This window comes from Homo sapiens, chromosome 5 (assembly GCF_000001405.40).
Source record: "Homo sapiens chromosome 5, GRCh38.p14 Primary Assembly".
NCBI classification, from domain to species: Eukaryota; Metazoa; Chordata; class Mammalia; order Primates; family Hominidae; genus Homo; species Homo sapiens.
Genome location: NC_000005.10, coordinates 66,049,042 through 66,072,925, shown reverse-complemented (window position 1 = coordinate 66,072,925; position 23,884 = coordinate 66,049,042). Strand labels below are relative to the sequence as shown.

At 36.6% G+C, this 23,884-nt stretch overlaps 1 protein-coding gene across 18 annotated transcripts in view; it reads right to left on the bottom strand.

Moving 5' to 3' along the window:
• The window catches only part of ERBIN (erbb2 interacting protein), a 155,972-nt gene that overhangs the window by 9,621 nt on the left and 122,467 nt on the right, over positions 1 to 23,884 (bottom strand). For 8 of the 18 annotated variants that reach the window (XM_047417382.1, XM_047417384.1, XM_047417383.1 and 5 more), the window contains 2 exons: positions 21,960 to 22,143; positions 17,975 to 19,520 (listed from right to left, as the gene is read on the bottom strand). In XM_047417382.1, the coding sequence (XP_047273338.1) occupies positions 17,975 to 19,520; positions 21,960 to 22,143 (1,730 nt within the window). Of the gene's footprint in view, positions 1 to 634; positions 758 to 3,905; positions 4,050 to 5,872; positions 17,868 to 17,974; positions 19,521 to 21,959; positions 22,144 to 23,884 lie in introns of those variants that run through there. The other 10 variants (XM_047417376.1, XM_047417377.1, XM_005248554.4 and 7 more) reach the window with 4 other exon arrangements.

The window sequence follows — 23,884 nt, the reverse complement described above, 5'->3', positions numbered from 1 at the left end:
CTGAAGAGCAACATAGAAGTTTTATGTAATAAATAACTATGCTTCATAATTATATCTGGTCATACTAGAGGCATGGAATCAGTTAAGAAAATAAGAAAAAATAGTTGAGGGAGGATAGTAAAAAATTATCTGTCTGGCACTGGCCATACATAGATAATTGCAACAAAAGTACTAAAAACACAACCATCATCTATTCTACCATATACAAAAGTCTTTCAAGATGATTTCTAATTATCATTTGAAGTAATTACATTTGACTTTAGTAATAGTAAAAGATCCTAGAATGAAGAGTTTAACACAAGTTCATTTTCAATTCTCCAAATAGTTTTACTATCAGGAATACCAAAAAGGCCTTGATTCAAATGAAAAAATAAATAGGTGGTACTATATAACAGAAATCTAAATGCAAAAATAAAATAATTCTCCAGGGTAGAAAAATCATGAAATGAACTGAGAAATAGTAGACAGGGTCAAATTCTATTTTGTATTTCTGATATTTTAAAAATCCTTACTAATAAAGGGGGGAAAGCCCTCAAAAAAGTATTTTCATCTAAAGCACATATAATATCTAGTCCAAAAGCTGCAAAATATAGAAAGCTCACAGATACTACATTTTGTTTTCCCGAGCACCCACTTTCATCAAGCTGTCTGGAGGAACATCTTTGTGACTAAGTGTGGCTGATGAGTAGTTCTGCTGTCCTGAAATGAATATACCATCTTGACAAGGATCTCCTGAACTGGATGTCTGGGGATGCTTCTAATGAGCAGGAAATAAAAAGTAAACAAATAATGTTCTTTAAGATGTGAAACCAAGAGGATGACACTTGAGAGAAGATTAGGAAAAAATATTGCCAAATAGTGCAAAGATGAAGACCCAAATCAAACACTGCCATCATTACTGCCATCAATTAGTATCTTTCACTTCTTCCAAAGGTACATAGCAAGATATTTTTGTATGTATGAAAAGCTTATATGAAAACATATTGTTAATCTACTTATGTACAATACACACATGTAGAAGATGAATTTTGCATGTTATTTTTTCCTTTTAGTTTTACTTACAGTAATACCTAGCTTTTAATACCTTTGAACAACAAATATAGTTATTAATCAAAGTTTAGAGTCTCAAATTTTAAGACCAACTAAAACACACTCATGTTGAGCACTATAAAAAGATTTTTGGTAAAAAAAAAAAAAAAAAAATTAACTGCTGTTCTTTCAATAGAACAGTACCCCATGGGATTTTTTTCCCCTAAATTTTAATGACAAGCAGAACCAATACACTTATAGTCTTACAAAACTTATTTTATTGGGATAAGATTGGGGTGTGAAATGAATATAAAATTTGCTTTAGCTTAATTCTGCCACATTGATATGAGTTCAATAGTTTCAGAAGTACTGATATGGAGAAATGCTATTAAAACCAATTAACTGGTTAATATCTTTATAGGCCAAATAATATCCCTGTATTATAGTTTACCAAGCTGATAGCTTTAGGGGAAAAATAAGACTCAATCTCATTACCCCTGAATATTTCTTTCTTTCTTTCTTTCTTTTTGGAGAGAGTCTCACTTTGCCACCTAGGCTGTAGTGCAGTGGTGTGATCAAGGCTCACCGCAGCCTCGACTTCCTGGACTCAAGCAATCCTCCCACCTCAGTCTTCTGAGTAGCTGGGATAACAGTTGTGGTGTCACCATGCCTGGCTAATTTTCTAATTTTTGTAGGCGGGGAGGGGGAAGAGGCAGGGTCTCCCTACATTGCCCTGGCTGGTGTCAAATTCCTGGGCTCAAGTGATCCTCCTGCCTCGGCCTCCCAAAGTGCTGGGATTACAGGTGTGAACCACTGCACAGGGCCCCTGAATATTTTATTATTATAAATATGCCAGGAAGCAAGACACATATGTTTTTCACTTCAATTTTAGTTCTAAACACATCCCTATATATATTTTAGAAAACAAAACAGATTGTGATAAATAGCACTATTGTTACATTCAAAACAGTTTACGGCTAGCAACATAGAAATGCAAACTACATCATCATATTGAAAAATTAATCTAAAATCTACTTTGTTATGACATACTACAGCATACATATAGAGTTAAGGATTTCGAATTTAATCTTAGAAATTATATCCGCAACACATCTATCATGTGCAGTTAGTTCAAACCATGGCTTAGAATTTTTAGACGTGATCTAATTTTGTGTATTTATGCAATGAATACTTTATTTTCCTTCTCCCTTTTTGAGATGTGCTTTTAGAATACATAAATGAATTTAGCTCTCAGCTTGAAATTTTAACTCAAGTGTGAATGTATAACTATGTTTATCTACTTTTTAAAAGAACAAGCACACCATGAATGTAGAAGTAAAATTCAATGTATTCAAAGGCTCCAAATTAAAAAAAAACAAGCACAAAATGTTACTATAAAAGAATGTGGAAAATACAATTGCTCCAGGTGACTATAAATGGCAAAGATTACCCCTGAGTTAATAAAAGCCACTGATCTTTACCCCCAGGGACTCTTGGAATGAGAGACTGATAGTTATCACCCTTCTCTCTCATCTTTTAAATTGGGAGGTTCCTAGCTGGGCGCGGTGGCTCATGCCTGTAATCCCAACACTTTGTGAGGCTGAGGCGGGCAGATCATCTGAGGTCAGGAGTTCAAGACCTCTGGCCAACATAGTGAAACCCCGTCTCTACTAAAAATGCAAAAATTAGCCGGGTGTGGTGGTGCGCACCTGTAATCCCAGCTACTTGGGAGGATGAGGCAGGAGAATCGCTTGAACTCGGGAGGCGGAGGTTGCAGTGAGCTGAGATCGCGCCATTGCACTCCAGCCTGGGCAACAAGAACAAAACCCCGCCTCAAAATAAATAAATAAATAAATGAATAAATAAATAAATAAAATTGGGAGGTTTCAACGTAACTGCTGCCACTCTTAACAGCATAGGAATCACATGGTGGCAGGTGACAGAGGACAGCATACGTCTAGGTCAGGTACAGCCAGAGCCAAGAGAATCCAGGAGATTGCTCCTATTCTGTAACACCAGAAGAAAGCCAGGGATATATTAAAATGGGGGATACCATCGCTCAGGTAGAAGTAAAGGACCCAGAAGTAAGCAAATACTTCACAAGGAAACTATGGGGAGGGGATAAAACAGGGTTATTAGAGACAAAACAGTCTTTTCGGGATTGAAGGAGAGGGGCGGAAGGAAATATTCTAGAGACCATGCTACTACTTCAAGTTGTTATGGGAAAAAAATCTTAAAACAGGGCCATGCCAGAGTTGTTCTTTCTTTCTCTGCCTTTTTATCCCCCACACTGAATTTTGGTTAAAATCATAAACCTTTCTTCTTCACTACTAAGGAAATGTTTAGTAAAATGTGAGTAAGAAAGGATTTGTGCTTTGTCTTTTCACTGACACTTATTACAATTTCTCCAGTCTCACAGTTAATCATGCTCAGTGAATTATGATTAACATTAGTTCAGGGTAGTGCTTTCTCTCAGTCAATTCTCAGTCACTGGAGTTAAAATTATTCCTCCCTGTAACAGGTCTATGGATTACATATAGCATAGCCTTAAAATCCTTAGGAATAGAAAAGTTTAATATTAAGAGAAAACATACTACAAAGAATAGTTTTTGAAGATCTCTCAGTTATTCCTATTGTTCACTTTTTTGCATAAACAAGGGCTGACTACATCATTAGTTTATGACCAAAGAAACTCAGGAGATAATGAATTTATCAGCTCTGAAGAAAGATTTAGAACTAAGCCATGGAAGAACTCAGAGGAAATCAAGGTTTCTAACCCAGAGTAAACATTTTTTTTCCTGGAAACATTAAAACACTTAAAATTTGGGGTTTTCTCTTCTACAAGCTAAAAGTATTGGTCTAGTGTAGGTACTCACTCGAAAAATGTGCCCACCAGAACCTCTTCTGTCTGCAACACTCAAGGCAAGACTGCCCTGGCTGCCATGCAGATCCCTAGAGCTGCCACAGTGAAAACTGCTTACAGTAGTAAAATTGGAATTAAAGGACCTTGACAGCATGCTCTGAATAAAGAGGGGATAGATTTAACAGAGATTAGTGTAGCATGCAAAATCCACGAGACATGTTATATACGTAGACTTATTTACAAGTAACCCCAAAACCAGAGAAGTATCATGCAACACTAATTTTCATTAGTGAAAGAAATTGGAACCATTTACCATGTATTTATATGACAACATATACATATACACAAATTACACGTAAATACAACCATTCACATGTTTAAGCAAAGGAAGAAAGTACAGACATATAACTGCTTTTAGAATGCTATTTCCTTTACTCCTAACACATCTTAGATATATATGTCAGAAAATAGGAGTTGACGCCATATGCTGATGTATGTGTATCTAAAGTCATATACAGAACAGAAATTAATTTCTCTATATAAAGATAAATTTTACCAACACCCAGTAATTCTAAGTCAAATGAATTTTTAGAGAATCTACTTCATTTTATGCAAATTCTAACATATTAAACAAACTGAGTGTTTAAATATACATAACACAAAATATATTTGCAAAAAATACCACTTCAAAAATTTTTTTTTTTTTTAAGAGGTAGACTCCCAGTCCGGAGTACAATAGCAAGCTCCTGGCTCACTGCAGCTTCAAACTCCTGGGCTCAAAGATCTTGCCTCCTGAGTAGACAGGACTACAGGTCCTCATTACCACACCTGGCTAGTTGTTGTTATTATTATTATTATTATTATTTTTGTAGAGACGAGGTCTCACTACACTTGTCCAGGGTGGTCTCAAACTCCTTCCTTCAAGCAATCCTTTTGCCTCAGCCCCCTAAACTGCTGGGATTACAGGTATGAGCCACTGTGCCGGACCACATTTCAATTTCTAAATGTTTAGAAAAATATCTTGCATTAGAGAATAGTTTTAACATACGCGAATTTATGATATACCCTTTTTAATTTTATTTTTTAAAGAGACATGGGTCTTGCTATGTTACCCAGGCTGGCCTCAAATTCCTGGGCTCAAGCCATCCTCCTGCCTCAGGCTCCTGAGTAGCTGGGACCACAGGTGTGCACCACCATGCCTGGCTAGTTTTTTTATTTTTCATGTAGACAGGGTCTCACCACCTTGCCCAGGCTTGGTGAGTATAACTTTTAAAATGCTCCTGCTGCTCTAAAATTACAAGAAGAAGAAAACGAGAAAATGTGTGGCAAATTTTCCCCATTCAAATAAACTGGTATTAAAGATCACTATATTTTAGGAGTTAGTGGTGGCCTTTGCTGCTTAAATTTGAAGAGCCATTGATGGAATCCTCTCACAAACTGAATTCATATGAATACCTAATTGCTAATCCCAGTACTGCCTGAAGATGTACCTCAATAAACACACTGCCTGATTCCCGCTGTTCCACTTGTTTATTCCCAGTGTTATGAACTGCCGTTCTTCCATGTGAGTGCCTTTAGTCATGTCCCTGAGTGCTGAGGGCTTAATGGTCAAACTGGATGAAACCACATTTTGAGCATGGCTTGTTATTAATACAGAAATATCATAACAAGCATTTCTGTATTACTCTTAGCAAATACATTCCTTCTCAAAATCTGAAGTTGACGTCTAATGCCAAGAAATACAGGATTCCATAAAGAAAAAGATCTATAAAATTACCATGTACACTTCCAGTTATTCTGTGAAATCTAAAGTAGTGACTAAAGAAAAAGCTAAACTTATAGCCCAGACCTGCATTTTCCCAAACCATTTCACCAAGGTTAAGGATTTAACGAGGCAATCTGGAGGTTTCATAAACATTTGACTGGAATAAAAAAAAACAAAGAAATCATTCATACATACATAAATAACAGACACACACATTTGCTGTGCAGAGAGCTTTAATGTGTTATTGACTCAAGTGGCCTGATTAACCCTTTAGACAGATCTTGTAGCAAAGCTTTCTCTGTCATCTCCAAACACATGAGCTTACTGTAAATATTTTACTGATGAATAAAGCTGAAGCTCAAAACAGGTCTGGTTTTAAATTCAGGTTTGTGCAGACATCCACGTAAAACTGCTTCCTGTCACAACACATTGTAGAGTGCTCAATTAAATGCTAGGCATAATGTCCTGGGCAATGTTGTTCATTACATACTGATAGTTGTATAATAACGAGTGAACGTAACACTTACCATGTTGTGTTAATCATATTATGGTTTGGAATGCTTAATATCTGAGTTCTCATAAGGAATGTTAGTAAATGCTGATAGTAACCATTCACCTCTGAAATAAAAAGTTCTTATTCCTTTTCAAATTTTGCTTATTAATTAAATAAATCTTGAAATTTTCAAGGTGACATCTACTTTGTATCTTTGAATTCCAGGTACAGTTTTTTTTGTTTTTTTTTTTTTATTTTTGGCAGTGGGAGGTTAAGAGGGGTGACTATTAAAAGGTTTAAAAACTACTTAAGCTTCAATAGATTATTACTACTAACTCTCAGCTGAGTAAAGTAGCAAATTTTAATTTGGGAACTGACCTCATGAGGTAGGGCAGGCACTGTGAAAGCCCCCAGGGTAAAATTTTTAAATGTCTACTTTGCCATTAGAATTAAGATGGTGGGTGTAGGGGAGTGAATAGAGATCCTCCATCATCTTCTACCACTTTGAATCAATGAAGTTTGGAGTCTAAATCCTGCTGCTATTAAAGTAGTTAATTAGTAATATATTTATGTAGCACTTTCAATCTGCTTCTAACGCCCATACATTCTGATTACACCATCTAATGAATAAGCATCAAAGTAGCACAAAGTTGTTATATAAATAAAACAGGGACAATTTTCAGAATTACATGATTTTAGAATGTTTTGAACATAGGAAAAGAAAGCATCCCCACGAGAGACTTGCAGAAATAAAGAGTTAATTTTCACTGGCAAATTACTCAAATTATGCTTCAATATTAAGGATTATTTTTACTGAATAAAATTATTTTTAGGAGGCTGGTGGTAGAATCACATTAAACTCTCAGACAACTCAAAAGAACCACATCTAACATTATATAACCTAAAGTACTATATCTGCTCAGGAAGTAACAGTGGCTTCACCTTATTTATTGTGTCAACTTGAAATTCTTCAGACCAGCTTTTAAAGTTGTTCCCCCTCCTTCACATAACATATATATCATCCTGGGAAAATTACTTAATTATTCTGCGCCTGAATTTCCTTACTGGAAAATGGGATAACAAATAAATGGATGCTGGTTCACATACAAAGCAAAACACACACACACACACACACACACACACACACACACACACACACACACACACACACACACACACACACAGGTCAAAATTAATCTGAAAATCTCTGAAATCACTCGGAATGTACAGTTTTATTTATAGACCCCATATAGTAAAGTTTGAAAACCACTTACCTAGGTTAAAGGAAGAACAAAGGTAAAATCTAGGTACAAATGTTTGGTTATTCAAACCATCCTGCCTTAAAATAATAAATTTCTAGCAGTTAATGGTGGGTAAGAGGGGAAAAGATGAAAGATGGTGAAGAAATCTTAAGGGTGTACATATCACTGAATTGGAATGGGCTGCTCTTTGAAATAATAAGTATGTCTAGCAATCTTAGCAATTTAACATTACTTAAAACAATGTATCTTTTCAGTCTCTTAAAAACACACTTTTTTCTTATCCCACATAATTACTGCCTAGGAAAATTCACTCATTCACATGGTTTGTATCTCAAATTTGCATCACTAAACCTAGTATCGTATTGTGTTCCATGTTACTTGCACACAGTCATCACATCAAATTCAATATATTCAAAACCAACTAAGCTATTTTTTGCCAAACTTTTATACTATACCACAATGCTTTAAAGACTTCATTTCCTTAACTACCAGAACTTTAAAAAAATATTGATTTGGCAGGGCATGGTGGCTCACATCTGTAATCACAGCACTTTGAGAGGCTGAAGCAAGAGGATTGCTTGAGGCCAGGAGTTTGAGACCAGCCTGGGCAACATAGTGAGACCCTGTCTCTATTTAAAAAATTAATTAATTAAATAAGGTTAATGACCAAATATCTCAAATCAGAAACCTTGGCTACCTCTTCAATCTTTTTTCTCATTCCATCCCTAAAACTAAACAATTTTAACCCAAGTGTTTTTCAGACTCATCACCACGAGAGCCAAAACCCCAGCTCAAGTATCTCTCATTTGGCTGTTTTATTATTGAAACTGTTTCCTAAGCTACTTCTTATCAATTCATCCTGAACACTTTTGCCTAAGATATCCTAAAATACTCTATATGCTCAGGAAATAATAGTGGCTCTCTTTTGTTTATTGTGTCAACTTGAAATTCTTCTGATAGGCTTTTAAAGTCATTCCTCTACACTACGTAACACATATCATCCTGGGAAAATTACTTAACTCTTCTGTGCCTAAATTTCCTTATGGTAAAATGAGATAATAAAAATATCACACAGGACTCATGTGAAAATTGAGAAATATTTGTATAGCAAGGTAACTGTACAGTGATAGTAGTTTCTGGCACTTTGTAAATACCAAATAAACTTTATATATTATGACTTTCTAATATTCATACTTTATTATCAAATGTTCTCAAAATACATCTTTAATTCAACCAGGTTGAACTCCTTGTCTCTGCTTTCAGAATTCCTTCTTGATATATAACTTTTACCTTAATCTATTAATCTTAATCCTATTTATCAAAATTGTAAGTTTTTCAAAAAGCACTGTTTGTTGAATAATCCCATCTTCTGTGATTACTATTGCATTTATCATTACCATTTTATCTTTCAAAATGAAAACATTTTAGAAATGTATCAAAAAGTCCCCAAATCTCACCGACAGATAATTACTAGCAGTACATTAACATTTCATCTTTTGAACCAGTTATTACCTAAACTATGAAATAATCTTCTGAACTATATTTTCTGAAGAAGAGATGATTAATAATGAAATCATGAAGAAAATACCAAATTTCCATTGAAATTTCTATTTTTGTTAGTTTTATGTGTGTACGTATATAAGTGTGTATATAAATACGAATGTCTCTATTGACATTTTATTGGTATTGTTTCTGACAGATAAGTATATTTAACAGAAAATTATTCAAGATCATCATCCTTGATAAATAGGTATTTAAAACAAATTTTTACAAGCTAAACATACAGAGACTATCTTCACTTTTTAAAAATGTCTTAATCGAGAAATTGGGAGGAGCCAAGATGGCCGAATAGGAACAGGTCCAGTCTACAGCTCCCAGCGTGAGCGACGCAGAAGACGGGTGTTTTCTGCACTTCCAACTGAGGTACCGGGTTCATCTCACTGGGGAGTGCCGGACAGTGGGTGCAGAACAGTGGGTGCAGCACACCATGCCTGAGCCGAAGCAGGGTGAGGCATCGCCTCACCTGGAAAACACAAGGGGTCAAGGAATTCCCTTTCCTAGTCAAAGGAAGGGGTGACAGATGGCACCTGGAAAATCGGGTCACTCCTGCCCTAATACTGCGCTTTTCCAACGGGCTTAACAAACCGCACACCAGGAGATTATATCCCGCAACTGGCTCGGAGGGTCCTACGCCCATGGAGCCTCGCTCATTGCTAGCACAGCAGTCTGAGATCAAACTGCAAGGCCACAGCGAGGCTGGGGGAGGGGCACCCGCCATTGCCCAGGCTTGAGTAGGTAACCAAAGCAGCTGGGAAGCTCGAACTGGGTGAAGCCCACCACAGCTCAAGGAGGCCTGCGTGCCTCGGTAGGCTCCACCTCTGGGGGCAGGGCACAGACAAACAAAAGACAGCAATAACCTCTGCAGACTTAAATGTCCCTGTCTGACAGTTTTGAAGAGAGTAGTGGTTCTCCCAGCACGCAGCTTGAGATCTGAGAACAGGCAGACTGCCTCCTCAAGTGGGTCCCTGACCCTCAAGTAGCCTAACTGGGAGGCACCCCCCAGTAGGGGCAGACTGACACCTCACACGGCCAGGTACTCCTCTGAGACAAAACTTCCAGAGGAATGATCAGGCAGCAGCATTTGCGGTTCACCAATATCCGCTGTTCTGCAGCCAGTGCTGCTGATACCCAGGCAAACAGGGTCTGGAGTGGACCTCCAGTCAACTCCAACAGACCTGCAGCTGAGGGTTGTGACTATTAGAAGGAAAACTAACAAACAGAAAGGACATCCACACCAAAAACCCATCTGTACATCACCATCATCAAAGACCAAAGGTAGATAAAACCACAAAGATGGGGAAAAAACAGAGCAGAAAAACCAGAAACTACAAATCAGAACACCTCTCCTCCTCCAGAGGAACGCAGCTCCTCACCAGCAACGGAACAAAGCTGGACGGAGAATGACTTTGATGAGTTGAGAGAGGAAGGCTTCAGAAGATCAAACTACTCCGAGCTAAAGGAGGAAGTTCAAACCAATGGCAAAGAAGTTAAAAACTTTGAAAAAAAATTAGACTAATGGATAACTAGAATAACCAATGCAGAGAAGTCCTTAAAGGACCCGATGGAGCTGAAAACCACAGCACGAGAACTATGTGACGAATGCACAAGCCTCAGTAACTGATGCGATCAACTGGAAGAAAGGGTATCAGCGATGGAAGACGAAATGAATGAAATGAAGCGTGAAGAGAAGTTTAGAGAAAAAAGAATAAAAAGAAACGAACAAAGCCTCCAAGAAATATGGGACTATGTGAAAAGACCAAATCTACGTCTCACTGGTGTACCTGAAAGTGACGGGGAGAATGGAACCAAGTTGGAAAACACTGCAGGATATTATCCAGGAGAACTAACCAAATCTAGCAAGGCAAGCCAACATTCAAATTCAGGAAATACAGAGAACGCCACAAAGATACTCCTCGAGAAGAGCAACTCCAAGACACATAATTGTCAGATTCACCAAAGTTGAAATGAAGGAAAAAATGTTAAGGGCAGCCAGAGAGAAAGGTTGGGTTACCCAAAAAGGGAAGCCCATCAGACTAACAGCTGATCTCTTGGCAGAAACTCTACAAGCCAGAAGAGAGTGGGGGCCAATATCCAACATTCTTAAAGAAAAGAATTTTCAACCCAGAATTTCATATCCAGCCAAACTAAGCTTCATAAGTGAAGGAGAAATAAAATACCTTACAGACAAGCAAATGCTGAGAGATTTTGTCACCACCAGGCCTGCCCTAAAAGAGCTCCTGAAGGAAGCACTAAACATGGAAAGGAACAACCGGTACCAGCCACTGCAAAAACATGCCAAATTGTAAAGACCATCAAGGCTAGGAAGAAACTGCATCAACTAATGAGCAAAATAACCAGCTAACATCATAATGACAGGATCAAATTCACACATAACACTACTAACCTTAAATGTAAATGGGCTAAATGCTCCAATTAAAAGGCACAGACTGGCAAATTGGATAAAGAGGCAAGACCCATCAGTGTGCTGTATTCAGGAAACCCATCTCACATGCAAGGACACACATAGGCTCAAAACAAACGGATGGAGGAAGATCTACCAAGCAAATGGAAAACAAAAAAAAGGCAGGGGTTGCAATCCTAGTCTCCGATAAAACAGACTTTAAACCAACAAAGATCAAAAGAGTCAAAGAAGGCCATTACATAATGGTAAAGGGATCAATTCAACAAGAACTAACTATCCTAAATATATATGCACCCAATACAGGAGCACCCAGATTCATAAAGCAAGTCCTTAGGGACCTACAAAGAGACTTAGGCTCCCACACAATAATAATGGGAGACTTTAACACCCCACTGTCAACATTAGACAGATCAACAAGACAGAAAGTTAACAAGGATATCCAGGAACTCAACTCAGCTCTGCACCAAGCAGACCTAACAGACATCTACAGAACTCTCCACCCCAAATCAACAGAATATACATTCTTTTCAGCACCACACCACACCTATTCCAAAATTGACCACACAGTTGGAAGTAAAGCAAGCACTCCTCAGCAAATATAAAAGAACAGAAATTATAACAAACTGTCTCTCAGACCACAGTGCAATCAAACTAGAACTCAGGATTAAGAAACTCACTCAAAACCGCTCAACTACATCGAAACTGCACAACCTGCTCCTGAATGACTACTGGGTACCTAACGAAATGAAGGTAGAAAAAAAAGATGTTCTTTGAAACCAATGAGAATAAAGACACAACATACCAGAATCTCTGGGACACATTCAAAGCAGTGTGTAGAAGGAAATTTATAGCACTAAATGCCCACAAGAGAAAGCAGGAAAGATCTAAAATTGACACCCTAACATCACAATTAAAAGCACTAGAGAAGCAAGAGCAAACACATTCAAAAACTAGCAGAAGACAAGAAATAACTAAGATCAGAGCAGAACTGAAGGAGATAGAGACACAAAAAACCCTTCAAAAAATTAATGAATCCAGGAGCTGGTTTTTTGAAAGGATCAACAGAATTGATAGACTGCTAGCAAGACTAATAAAGAAGAAAAGAGAGAAGAATCAAACAGACGCAATAAAAAATGACAAAGGGCATATCACCACCAATCCCACAGAAATACAAACTACCATCAGAGAAAACTAAAAACACCTCTACGCAAATAAACTAGAAAATCTAGAAGAAATGGATAAATTCCTTGACACATAACACTCTCCCAAGACTAAACCAGGAAGAAGTTGAATCTCTGAATAGACCAATAACAGGCTCTGAAATTGAGGCAATAATTAATAGCTTACCAACCAAAAAAAGTCCAGGACCACATGGATTCACAGCTGAATTCTACCAGAGTTACAAGGAGGAGCTGGTACCATTCCTTCTGAAACTATTCCAGTCAACAGAAAAAGAGGGAATCCTCCCTAACTCATTTTATGAGGCCAGCATCATCCTGATACGAAAGCCAGGCAGAGACACAACCAAAAAAGAGAATTTTAGACCAATATCCTTGATGAACATTGATGCAAAAATCCTCAATAAAATACTGGCAAACTGAATCCAGCAACACATCAAAAAGCTTATCCACCATGATCAAGTGGGCTTCATCCCTGGGATGCAAGGCTGGTTCAACATATGAAAATCAATAAACGTAATCCAGCATATAAACAGAACCAAAGACAAAAACCACATCATTATCTCAATAGGTGCAGAAAAAGCCTTTGACAAAATTCAACAACCCTTCATGGTAAAAACTCTCAATAAATTAGGTACTGATGGGACGTATCTCAAAATAGTAAGAGCTGTCTATGACAAACCCACAGCCAATATCATACTGAATGGACAAAAACTGGAAGCATTCCCTTTGAAAACTGGCACAAGACAGGGATGCCCTCTCTCACCACTCCTATTCAACATAGTGTTGGAAATTCTGGCCAGGGTAATCAGGCAGGAGAAGGAAATAAAGGGTATTCAATTAGGAAAAGAGGAAGTCAAATTGTCCCTGTTTGCACATGACATGATTGTATATCTAGAAAACCCTATCATCTCAGCCCAAAATCTCCTTAAGCTGATAAGCAACTTCAGCAAAGTCTCAGGATATAAAATCAATGTGTAAAAATCACAAGCATCCTTATACACCAATAACAGACAAACAGAGAGCCAAATCATGAGTGAACTCCCATTCACAATTGCTTCAAAGAGAATAAAACACCTAGGAATCCAACTTACAAGGGATGTGAAGGACCTCTTCAAGGAGAACTACAAACCACTGCTCAATGAAATAAAAGAGGATACAAACAAATGGAAGAACATCTCATACTCATGGGTAGGAAGAATCAATATCATGAAAATGGCCATACTGCCCAAGGTAATTTATAGATTCAATGCCATCCCCATCAAGCTACCAATGACTCTCTTCACAGAATTGGAAAAAACTACTTTAAAGTTCATATGGAACCAAAAAAGAGCCTGCATTGCCAAGACAATCCTAAGCCAAAAAAAACAAAGCTGGAGGCATCACGCTACCTGACTTCAAACTACACTACAAGGCTACAGTAACCAAAACGGCACGGTACTGGTACCAAAACAGGGATATAGACCAATGGAACAGAACAGAGCCCTCAGAAATAATGCCGCATATCTACAACTATCTGATCTTTGACAAACCTGACAAAAACAAGAAATGGGGAAAGGATTCCCTATTTAATAAATGGTGCTGGGAAAACTGGCTAGCCATATGGAGAAAGCTGAAACTGGATCCCTTCCTTACACCTTATACTAAAATTAATTCAAGATGCATTAAAGACTTAAACGTTAGACCTAAAACCATAAAAACCCTAGAAGAAAACCTAGGCAATACCATTCAGGACATAGGCATGGGCAAGGACTTCATGTCTAAAACACCAAAAGCAATGGCAACAAAAGCCAAAATTGACAAATGGGATCTAATTAAACTAAAGAGCTTCTGCACAGCAAAAGAAACCACCATCAGAGTGAACAGGCAACCTACAGAACGGGAGAAAATTTTTGCAACCTACTCATCTGACAAAGGGCTAATATCCAGAATCTACAATGAACTCAAACAAATTTACAAGAAAAAAACAACCCCATCAAAAAGTAGGCAAAGCATATGAACAGACACTTCTCAAAAGAAGACACTTATGCAGCCAAAAAACACATGAAAAAGTGCTCATCATCACTGGCCATCAGAGAAATACAAATCAAAACCACAATGAGATAGATACCATCTCACACCAGTTAGAATGGCAATCATTAAAAAGTCAGGAAACAACAGGTGCTGGAGAGGATGTGGAGAAATAGGAACACTTTTACACTGTTGGTGGGACTGTAAACTAGTTCAACCATTGTGGAAGTCAGTGTGGCGATTCCTCAGGGATCTAGAACTAGAAATACCATTTGACCCAGCAATCCCATTACTGGGTATATACCTAAAGGATTATAAATCATGCTGCTATTAAGACACATGCACACGTATGTTTATTGTGGCACTCTTCACAATAGCAAAGACTTGGAACCAACGCAAATGTCCAACAATGATAGACTGGATTAAGAAAATGTGAATACTATGCAGCCATAAAAAATGATAAGTTCATGTCCTTTGTAGGGACATGGATGAAGCTGGAAACCATCATTCTCAGCAAACTATCACAAGGACGAAAAACCAAACACCGCATGTTCTCACTCACAGGTGGAAATTGAACAATGAGAACAGATGGACACAGGAAGGGGAACATCACACACTGGGGACTGTTGTGGGGTCGGGGGAGGGGGGAGGGATAGCATTAGGAGATATACCTAATGCTAAATGACGAGTTAATGGGTGCAGCACACCAACATGGCACATGTATACATATGAAACAAACCTGCACGTTGTGCACATGTATCCTAAAACTTAAAGTATAATAATAAAAAAAGCCTTAATCTTTGATGTATGAAATCTGTTTATATTTTAAAATTATGAACTATAAATTTTTAAGAAAAATAATTATTTTACCATCATAAAATAACCTATTGCACAATATTCTGCTGTTTTAAAAAAATAACTTTAATCAGCTGATAATTTCTTTGTATTTAAAAGATGGTGATGATGAGGATGAAGATAATAGCAATAAACACTTATTTAGCAGTTAGTTATATGTGTCAGGTACCCTTCTAAGTGCTTTGCATGTATTAACCCATCTAATTTTTAAACAATCCTAGTAGTTCCTTTCATTGCACCTAACATACACATGAATCCACCAAGGTAAGGAAAGTCAAAGTTATTTGTCCAAGTAGCTAACTGAGCAGCACAGCTAGGATTCGGAACTGTTAAGACTAAAATTCTCTCTAAATGCTTTTTAAAAAATTTTTTTGAAAGTAATTCTTTAAAAATTTAAATTCTTTTAAAAATGTGGTTTATAAAACATGAATCCATTTAAGATAAAAGTTTCACGTATGTTAGGTAAAAGCAGTCTCACATGTGAATACTTTTTAAGAACTGAAACAGGCAAACACAGCATACATTTAAGAAAGACATGGAGAATAAAATATCCTAAAAGGAATGCAGTAGAGTTATGGTAACGGCAGGATATATACTTTGGTATTTGCTAGAAATGCTTCCCAACTGATGAGCTAGAAGATACTACAGTGTAGTCAACTAGTGGTCTGGAAGGCAGGAGTCTGGGCAAGCAAATGATGAGAGAACAAGCACCCCTCGTAACTTCAAAGTATGATATCCTTGAAAATGGGAGTTATCAGGTGCAGATTTGTGTTCAGACACAGTTTGCCCTGTTTCTTTTCTCATAAGGCTTCTCTTTAGTTTCAATCAACTAATTCACACCTCTAAATTACTAGTGAAAACAACTAGGAAACTACTGTCATATACTCTTCAAGAACCCGTACCGTGAATTTCAAAATATGTAAATATTTCAGGCAATTAAAAAAAAAAGCGGATTGGCACACTGAACAATGAGATAGTTACTACTTGCTTCTTATGTACTGAAATCCAGGTATATCTGTCAGACAGGAGTAGGAAAACAGCCATATAAGATGAAAACTACACAGAACATAAAAACCAAACTCATCTCTTCTTCCAAATCTCCTACTCCTCCTCTATGTCCACTAATAGCCAAAGACATTCCCAACAACCAGTTATTTAAGGCACAATCTCAAGCTTTATCCCTTTTCCTTTCTGATTGATTACAGGAATATTCAATCAGAAGTAAACTCTTGTTAAAAGTCTATTTCAGAGCTCTCTCTTGAACTCATTTGTCTTAACTGCACTGATAAAAGTTCACATTTCATTTCTTATCTAGATTACTAAACGGCATCATAACTCAATCTCTTTGACTACAGCCTCTTCCTCTAAAATCTAGTTCCACAACGTCACCAGAAATTTATTTATAAAACACACCTATGTTACTCTTCTGCTTAAGAAATTTCCAAGTGCCTTAGAAAAAGCACAAAAGTTCAAATAGCCTCAACAGTGTGTACAGAGTTACTAGATGAAATAAAATGCATAGATGAGAATGAAGTAGCCTAATGCTTGTGGATATTTACCTATTTAAAGTTCATTTAAAGTTGAGGACTGCACTAAAAAGAACAATTATAGGCTGAGATTTCATGTAAACTGATATGAGGTACTAATATATTTTAGGCATTTCTGAAAATTTTATTTAAGGAATTTTTAAAAATGGCTAATTGAAGTTGTATGTTCACCTGTTTTTAAGAACACATTTTATATTTAATAAAGAAAGAAAGATAATGCTTGGGTAAAATCTAGTGAGTAAGTATAAAGTTAAATCTTAAAGAAAAATCATGTCTTGTACACTTGGGCCATATGACTATGGCATTCATATTGGTTTTACAAGGATATATATCTGTATCTACATTTTTAACTCCTTTCAAAAGATGAACATCTACACATAAAATTATAAATTGAACACGAGCATTAGTTATTTAATCAACTATTGCTAAGCAACACTAGAGCCACAGAAACACTTAACTGAGTTTAAGTAGGTCAGAAATGTAGAAATTCAGAAAAGTTAAGAATAAATGCCATGCCAGAAGCCATCTGTGTCAGTGACAATGTTAGTTCATATACTGTGGACTGGGGAAAAAATATTAGATGAAATATTTACATTTGCAATACATTTTTTGTTATTGTCTTAACTATATAGTAAACTATTTTTTAAATTTAGATAATCAACAATTATTAATAGCAAAGTTCAGAAAATGCTGAACAGAGGTACGTGTATTTTTAGTATGTGTGCACAATCTCAAAGAGACAGACACATAAACATATAAAATTAATACATTTTTGTTAGAAACAGTGGGGAGTGAAGGAGAGGATAGAAACACACATTATCATCCCAATTGTCCTGGCTGAGTTTAAATTTGGAACTCTATTCCCAGTACCAGAGAAAAACACCTAGAATATAAAGAGATAATCAGTAATTCAGAGAATCTTGTTTCATCATTTTTAAGGAAAATAATTAAGTTCATAAAGAAAATAATGAAAAACTCATGTTCAATTACCTTTTCTAACTTTTTGGCTTCAATATGTCGAAGTACTTGTTCTCTCCAGTCACGAGGAACTTTACTTTTTCCTGGAGGATCTAATAAAGAATGCTCAGAACCAACCCTTGCATTTGGTCTTTTTGAAGGACTAGTCCGTGAATAATTGAAATCACTAACTGACATAGTTCTCTCTGGTATTTCATTAATAGAGGGTCGAGCACTCTGAGGTCTTGATGCATTTGGACCATCTATGCTGTATGTTCGTGCAGAAAGGGGTCTCTGTGATCCTGGCATCATTGGAGGAGTTCTTCCCGCTGAGTGGAACTCTCTGTATGATAAATAATCTCCTTCAGGAATCTGAGCCCGCCTTGTAGAGCCTGGATCACCAAGATTTACAGAGGCTGTGGAGGACACACTACTTTGTCGCTGGATTGTACTTCGAGTTACTGCAGGAATAAGTCGGTCGTTTGGTGAGATGGCCCACATTTCCCCATGTCTTGCTGGGCCAAGTCTCTGATGTAAATGGTATGCAGTATTAGCTCGAACATTGTTATGATTAGAGAAATTCATATTGGCAGAATGTTTAGCATAACTTTGATTTTCTGTGCTCTCTGATCTAGGAAGGAGCTGAGGAGGAAAACTGGCATGGTCTATTTGGGGATTTTGTTTGGAGTGCCACAAAGTGTCTTTGACTGCAGCACTGCTACTGTATTGGATATTATACTGTGGAGGACCATATATTTGAGGTGCAGATTGTGGGCCACTTGTGGGGCCTCTTATTATATTTGGCTCTTCGGGATTATGATTTGAATCAAACTTGAAAATTGCCTTTGTTCCTGATATTAAATCAGAAGATGAGGAAGAACCAGTAAATACCTGCAATGGTTGATCATACAACAGTGTGGCAGACTTGCTCCTGACTATATTTTTTCCATCAACAGCAGATGTGATTTTAACGGTTGTACTTGGCTGCTGAGGTCCATTATCACTAAGAATATCATAGATTTTTAGCCCTCCAATCTCCATATTAGTTATGCTATGAGATTTCACAACAGATCCAACTGGACCACTTTTCTGAGGGGAGAGATCTTCAGTGCTTTTGGAAATACCTAAGTCAACAGAACAATCACTGTCATGTGGTTCAGTCCTATTAGGAGACTGGGAAGTTTCCTCAGAATGTCCATTTACCTTATTTACGGATTCCAAATTAGGATACTTGTTTCCATTTTCCAAGTGCTCAGTTTCCTCTTTAGAATTAATGCTTAAAAAGCTTGTTCCAAGCACAATATCCTGTGTTTTTGATCTTTCCATGATCTCTGGTTGAAATGTATCATTAGTTATAAGTTTATTAAGATTCATATTGATATGATCTAATTTGTGAGTGTCATCAGCTGTGGCTGTTGAGTCAACACTTTTCTCAATTAGAACTAATCGCTCTTCAACATTCAAATCATATTCAGGTAAGTTAAAATCTTTTTTATCATGAGCTTTGAACTTTTCCTCTGTTGAACTGTTTAAAATATCTCCATTTTGTAAAAGGCTGTTAAAATTTTCATCTTCTTGCCTAAAATAAAGATAATTTTATGAAAAACATAATAAAGCCGAGTTTTCTTAGTAACAGGGAACATTAATAAATAAATTGTGTAGGTAGACAAGTTAAAAAAGTTAATAAAAGTCAAAGACAAAAGGCATTTATTATCAAGCATGTAATTTTAAAATATTATCTTAATAGTTAAAAGAGCTTTATATTCAGTTGGAGACAAGTAATACAATTAAAATTCATAGATAATACCAAGATTAATTTTCATCAATACACTCAATCTGATTTGTCACAAAATAATTTAAAGGGCTGAACTATGAATAAAATTTTAATGTTTGCTGCATCTTTTCATGAATGTGCTAAAAAAACAAAATGCTTGAGGGAGGGCAGATATATGGAGAGAAACCTAGTAACATGAATAGTGGAGTAAAGAGCAAAGGACATTTTTACAGTTAATTTTGAAGCCTTACATTATTAACCAAATTAACCATAGTTAACGAAGTACACAGTTGTTATTACATTCAAATATATAGGTAAGAAAATTGTACAAAGCAAAGAACTGAATAATTGTCCAAAGTTTAACATCAAATATGTAAAAGGCATAGAAAGATAAATGAAGTCTAATCACTCTTCTAAGTAGCTAGCTGTATTTGGTAAATACTTTTAAATGTGTCATTCCAAAATTATACAAAATATTTTATTTCTACCTGTGATATTAAGTATTTGTGTCCTCTTGTATACATATTCAAGTTATGTTTCCACAAAAATTCCCTAATACTGGTCTTCCCATTACAAAAAAGATAACTTTCATTACTAGAAATACAGCACAAAAAGGTGTTGCTGTATTCCTTGCTTAGGCTTTATTTCATTATATTAAAAGCAGGATTTAGAAAATATCATACCGCTTTCCCAACAATAAATAAAATTTTATTATTCAACAAATTAATACGATAATATCTAGGAGGTTATAAAAATTAGTATTTTAAACAGCAGCTCATAGCTTCAAATTCAAAGAATAGAAATAAATGATTGATTGTGATTATAATTACACAGTACCTAAACTCATTTTCAGGCATAAAATTCACCTCCCTTTTCCAACAACACGCATTAATATATACAAATTTTACTTAAATATGCCTGAAATTTAAGAACAACTCTAAATGACTATTAAAAATATCCACACATTAAACTTTTGGTTTAGTAGTAACCCCGATCTTTTTTTTTTTTTTTTTGAGACCGGGTCTCAATTCTGTTACCCATGCTGGAGTGCAGTAGCCTGATCATGACTCACTGAGGCCTAAACCTCGCAAGCTCAAGTTAACCTCCCACCTTGGCCTCTCGAGTAGCTGGGACTACAGGCATGTGCCAACATACCTGGCCAATTTTTTTGTAGAGACATGGTTTCACCATGTTGCCCAAGCTGGTCTTGAACTCCTGTACTCAAGCAATCTATCATCTTAGCCTCCCAAAGTGCTCGGATTACAGGCATTCCACCACATCCAGCCAACCCCAATCTGTCTCTTTTTTTTTTTTTTGAGACAAGGCCTAGCTCTGTCACCCAGGCTGGAATGCAGTGGGGTGATCACAGCTCACTGCAACTTCCGCCTCCTGGGCTCAAGCAATCCTCCCACCTCAGCCTCCCAGGTAGCTGGGACTACAGGCACATGCCACCACACATGGCCAACTTTTGTACTTTTTTTGGTAGAGATGGGGTTTCACCATGTTGCCAAGGCTGGTCTCGAACTCCTGGGCTCAAGCCATCCACCTGCCGCAGCCTCCTGAAGTGCTGGGATTACACGTTTAAGCCACCATGCTCAGCCCAGCCAATCCCCATCTTTCTAACAGAGTTTAGCTGATAGAGTAACACTATGGTAGAATGGCAGGGCCTTACTCTGATAACCAAATTTCTTCTTTTTTTTTCTTTTCAAACCCACTGCCAACATTATAGACAACCAATTTCTCAAGAGCCTAAATAATAAAATGTGTTTTAGACTTCAGCTAAATTCCAGGCTATACAAATTAACATTTATCTCTCTCTCAGTGAGTGTGTCCTACAAAATTAAGCCTAAGCCAAATATACACCACCAGTCAAGAGTATCTGAATGAACCCTTTAATGGCAGCCCCTCAAAATGATTCTGCATTTCTAACTATAAAAATACTCCTTTCAACTTAAATTACCTCAAATATGCTGTTTATGTTGCCATATCTAAAAATATATAAATATTCAACTTTTTAACCAGAGATTGAGAATCTAGTCTATTCTTCCCCATTTAAAAATCTAATTTAAGATGGAAATGTATAAAAACTAAATGGAAAATCAGCAATAAAAATGGGGAAATAAAACATATTACTGGAACCACTTCTATAATATTTATTAAACCCTATATATTTATGTATTTGTTATCTGCCTTACTACTTCTATTTATTGTATAAATAAAAAACTGTAAAAGAGGTTCACACACCTGATTTTGGAATTAATATCAATATGAGTTTGTTTCACTGGAGAGCAGAGTGAGGTGTCTTGACTACTATCAGTATTAAGAGAAACTGAATCAGACATCCGAGATGGAGAAGAACAATTGCTGTTATTCTGATTGCTATTGTGTGTAACTTCATCTGATAAAGAATCTGTTTCCTTTGTATCATCTGAAACAAAACAAATTTAAGATTAATGATAAATTCCCCAAGAATTGTGTGAAATTCTTTTCAGTGATGACAAATGGCAATTATACCATCCTGGTTCTATATATGAGGTAATAAATTATATTGATAATTGGAAGCACCCCTGAAAATTCAGTCCTAATACAAAGATTAAATAATTTTTAGATGGTGATATAATTTTTCAAAAAGTAACCAATGCTGGGGTTATTAAGAATTCGATTTAGGCCGGGCGCGGTGGCTCACGCCTGTAATCCCAGCACTTTGGGAGGCCGAGGCGGGCGGATCACGAGGTCAGGAGATCGAGGCCATCCCGGCTAAAACGGTGAAACCCCGTCTCTACTAAAAATACAAAAAAATTAGCCGGGCGTAGTGGCGGGCGCCTGTAGTCCCAGCTACTTGGGAGGCTGAGGCAGGAGAATGGCGTGAACCCGGGAGGCGGAGCTTGCAGTGAGCCGAGATCCCGCCACTGCACTCCAGCCTGGGCGACAGAGCGAGACTCCGTCTCAAAAAAAAAAAAAAAAAAAAAAAAAAAAAAAAAAAAGAATTCGATTTAGTTACTGACAAGGTGATATTATTATGTACTGTTTTCTAAGGTCAGTTAATTTCAATGAATATACTTTTCACCCATTTACAATTTGAAAAACTGATAATGAAAATTCATTTACAACCTTTCTGAACTCAACTGGGCAAGAAATTATTTCATACATATATGGAATTTTTTCCCATCTACTCTAATAAAAATAAGCAATTCAATCCACAAACATATAATCACCAAACAAATCAAGGAATTTTCAAAGGTCAGCTCTTTCTTAATGTTTTTAAAACATTTCATAAACTTGTTTATGAATGGTAAACTCTCAGTATGTAAGGTGGTTGTGTGTGTAGCAATTACATGAACAGAAACAGACAAGTGTTCATATTCTATAATAGGTAGTATAACAAGTAGTATTTTTTTAAAGTAGTGCTACAAATTTTTTTTTAACTAACTGAATTCTAGCCAAATCACAGAAATAGTGTATATAGACATATCCATAGATGATTATATGAATTAAGGATATCTTTGATGTTCTGAGATCTTAGGAGCACAGCTCAAGTAGTCCGGATTGTATTTACAGTTAACAGTAGCAAATGGACTCTAACTTTGATCTCAGTGTATTTAGGTTTTGAGCTCTTAACTTAACCATTAAAATAGATGGTTGTTAAGTTCTTTCTTAGATACACTCCACTTCCACCTCATCATGGGGGTTATTGTGACAATTAGATAATAACACGTAAAATATTTAGTATAGTACCTAAGCAATTAGTGCTCAACAAATTCTAGGTATCACTACTACAAAATGAACCCAAGCTATCCAAGGGCCACCTTGATAATAAGTATCATTGATGCCATAAAGACAAACGGCTAAACATTTGAGGAAGATGATGTAAAGATACTCAGGTGCTAGAGGGGAGGGGTGAGGGAAAGGATACATATCCTTCAAGATCTCTAAGAGTCTAAGATTGTCTTATATGAAAGAATGGCTGGCAGAGGTTGGACGGAGTGTAAAAAAATGTTTTGTGATACAATCAATAAAATAACGAGCACCTACTATACATAAGGTACTGTGCTAAAAGATACATTATCTAGCCTATTTGATGCAAAAATCCTTCATTAGCCTCATTGTATGTCAAATCAGATATGTACACATGGATAAAATTAACTCAAGGATTACACAGCAGATAAGTG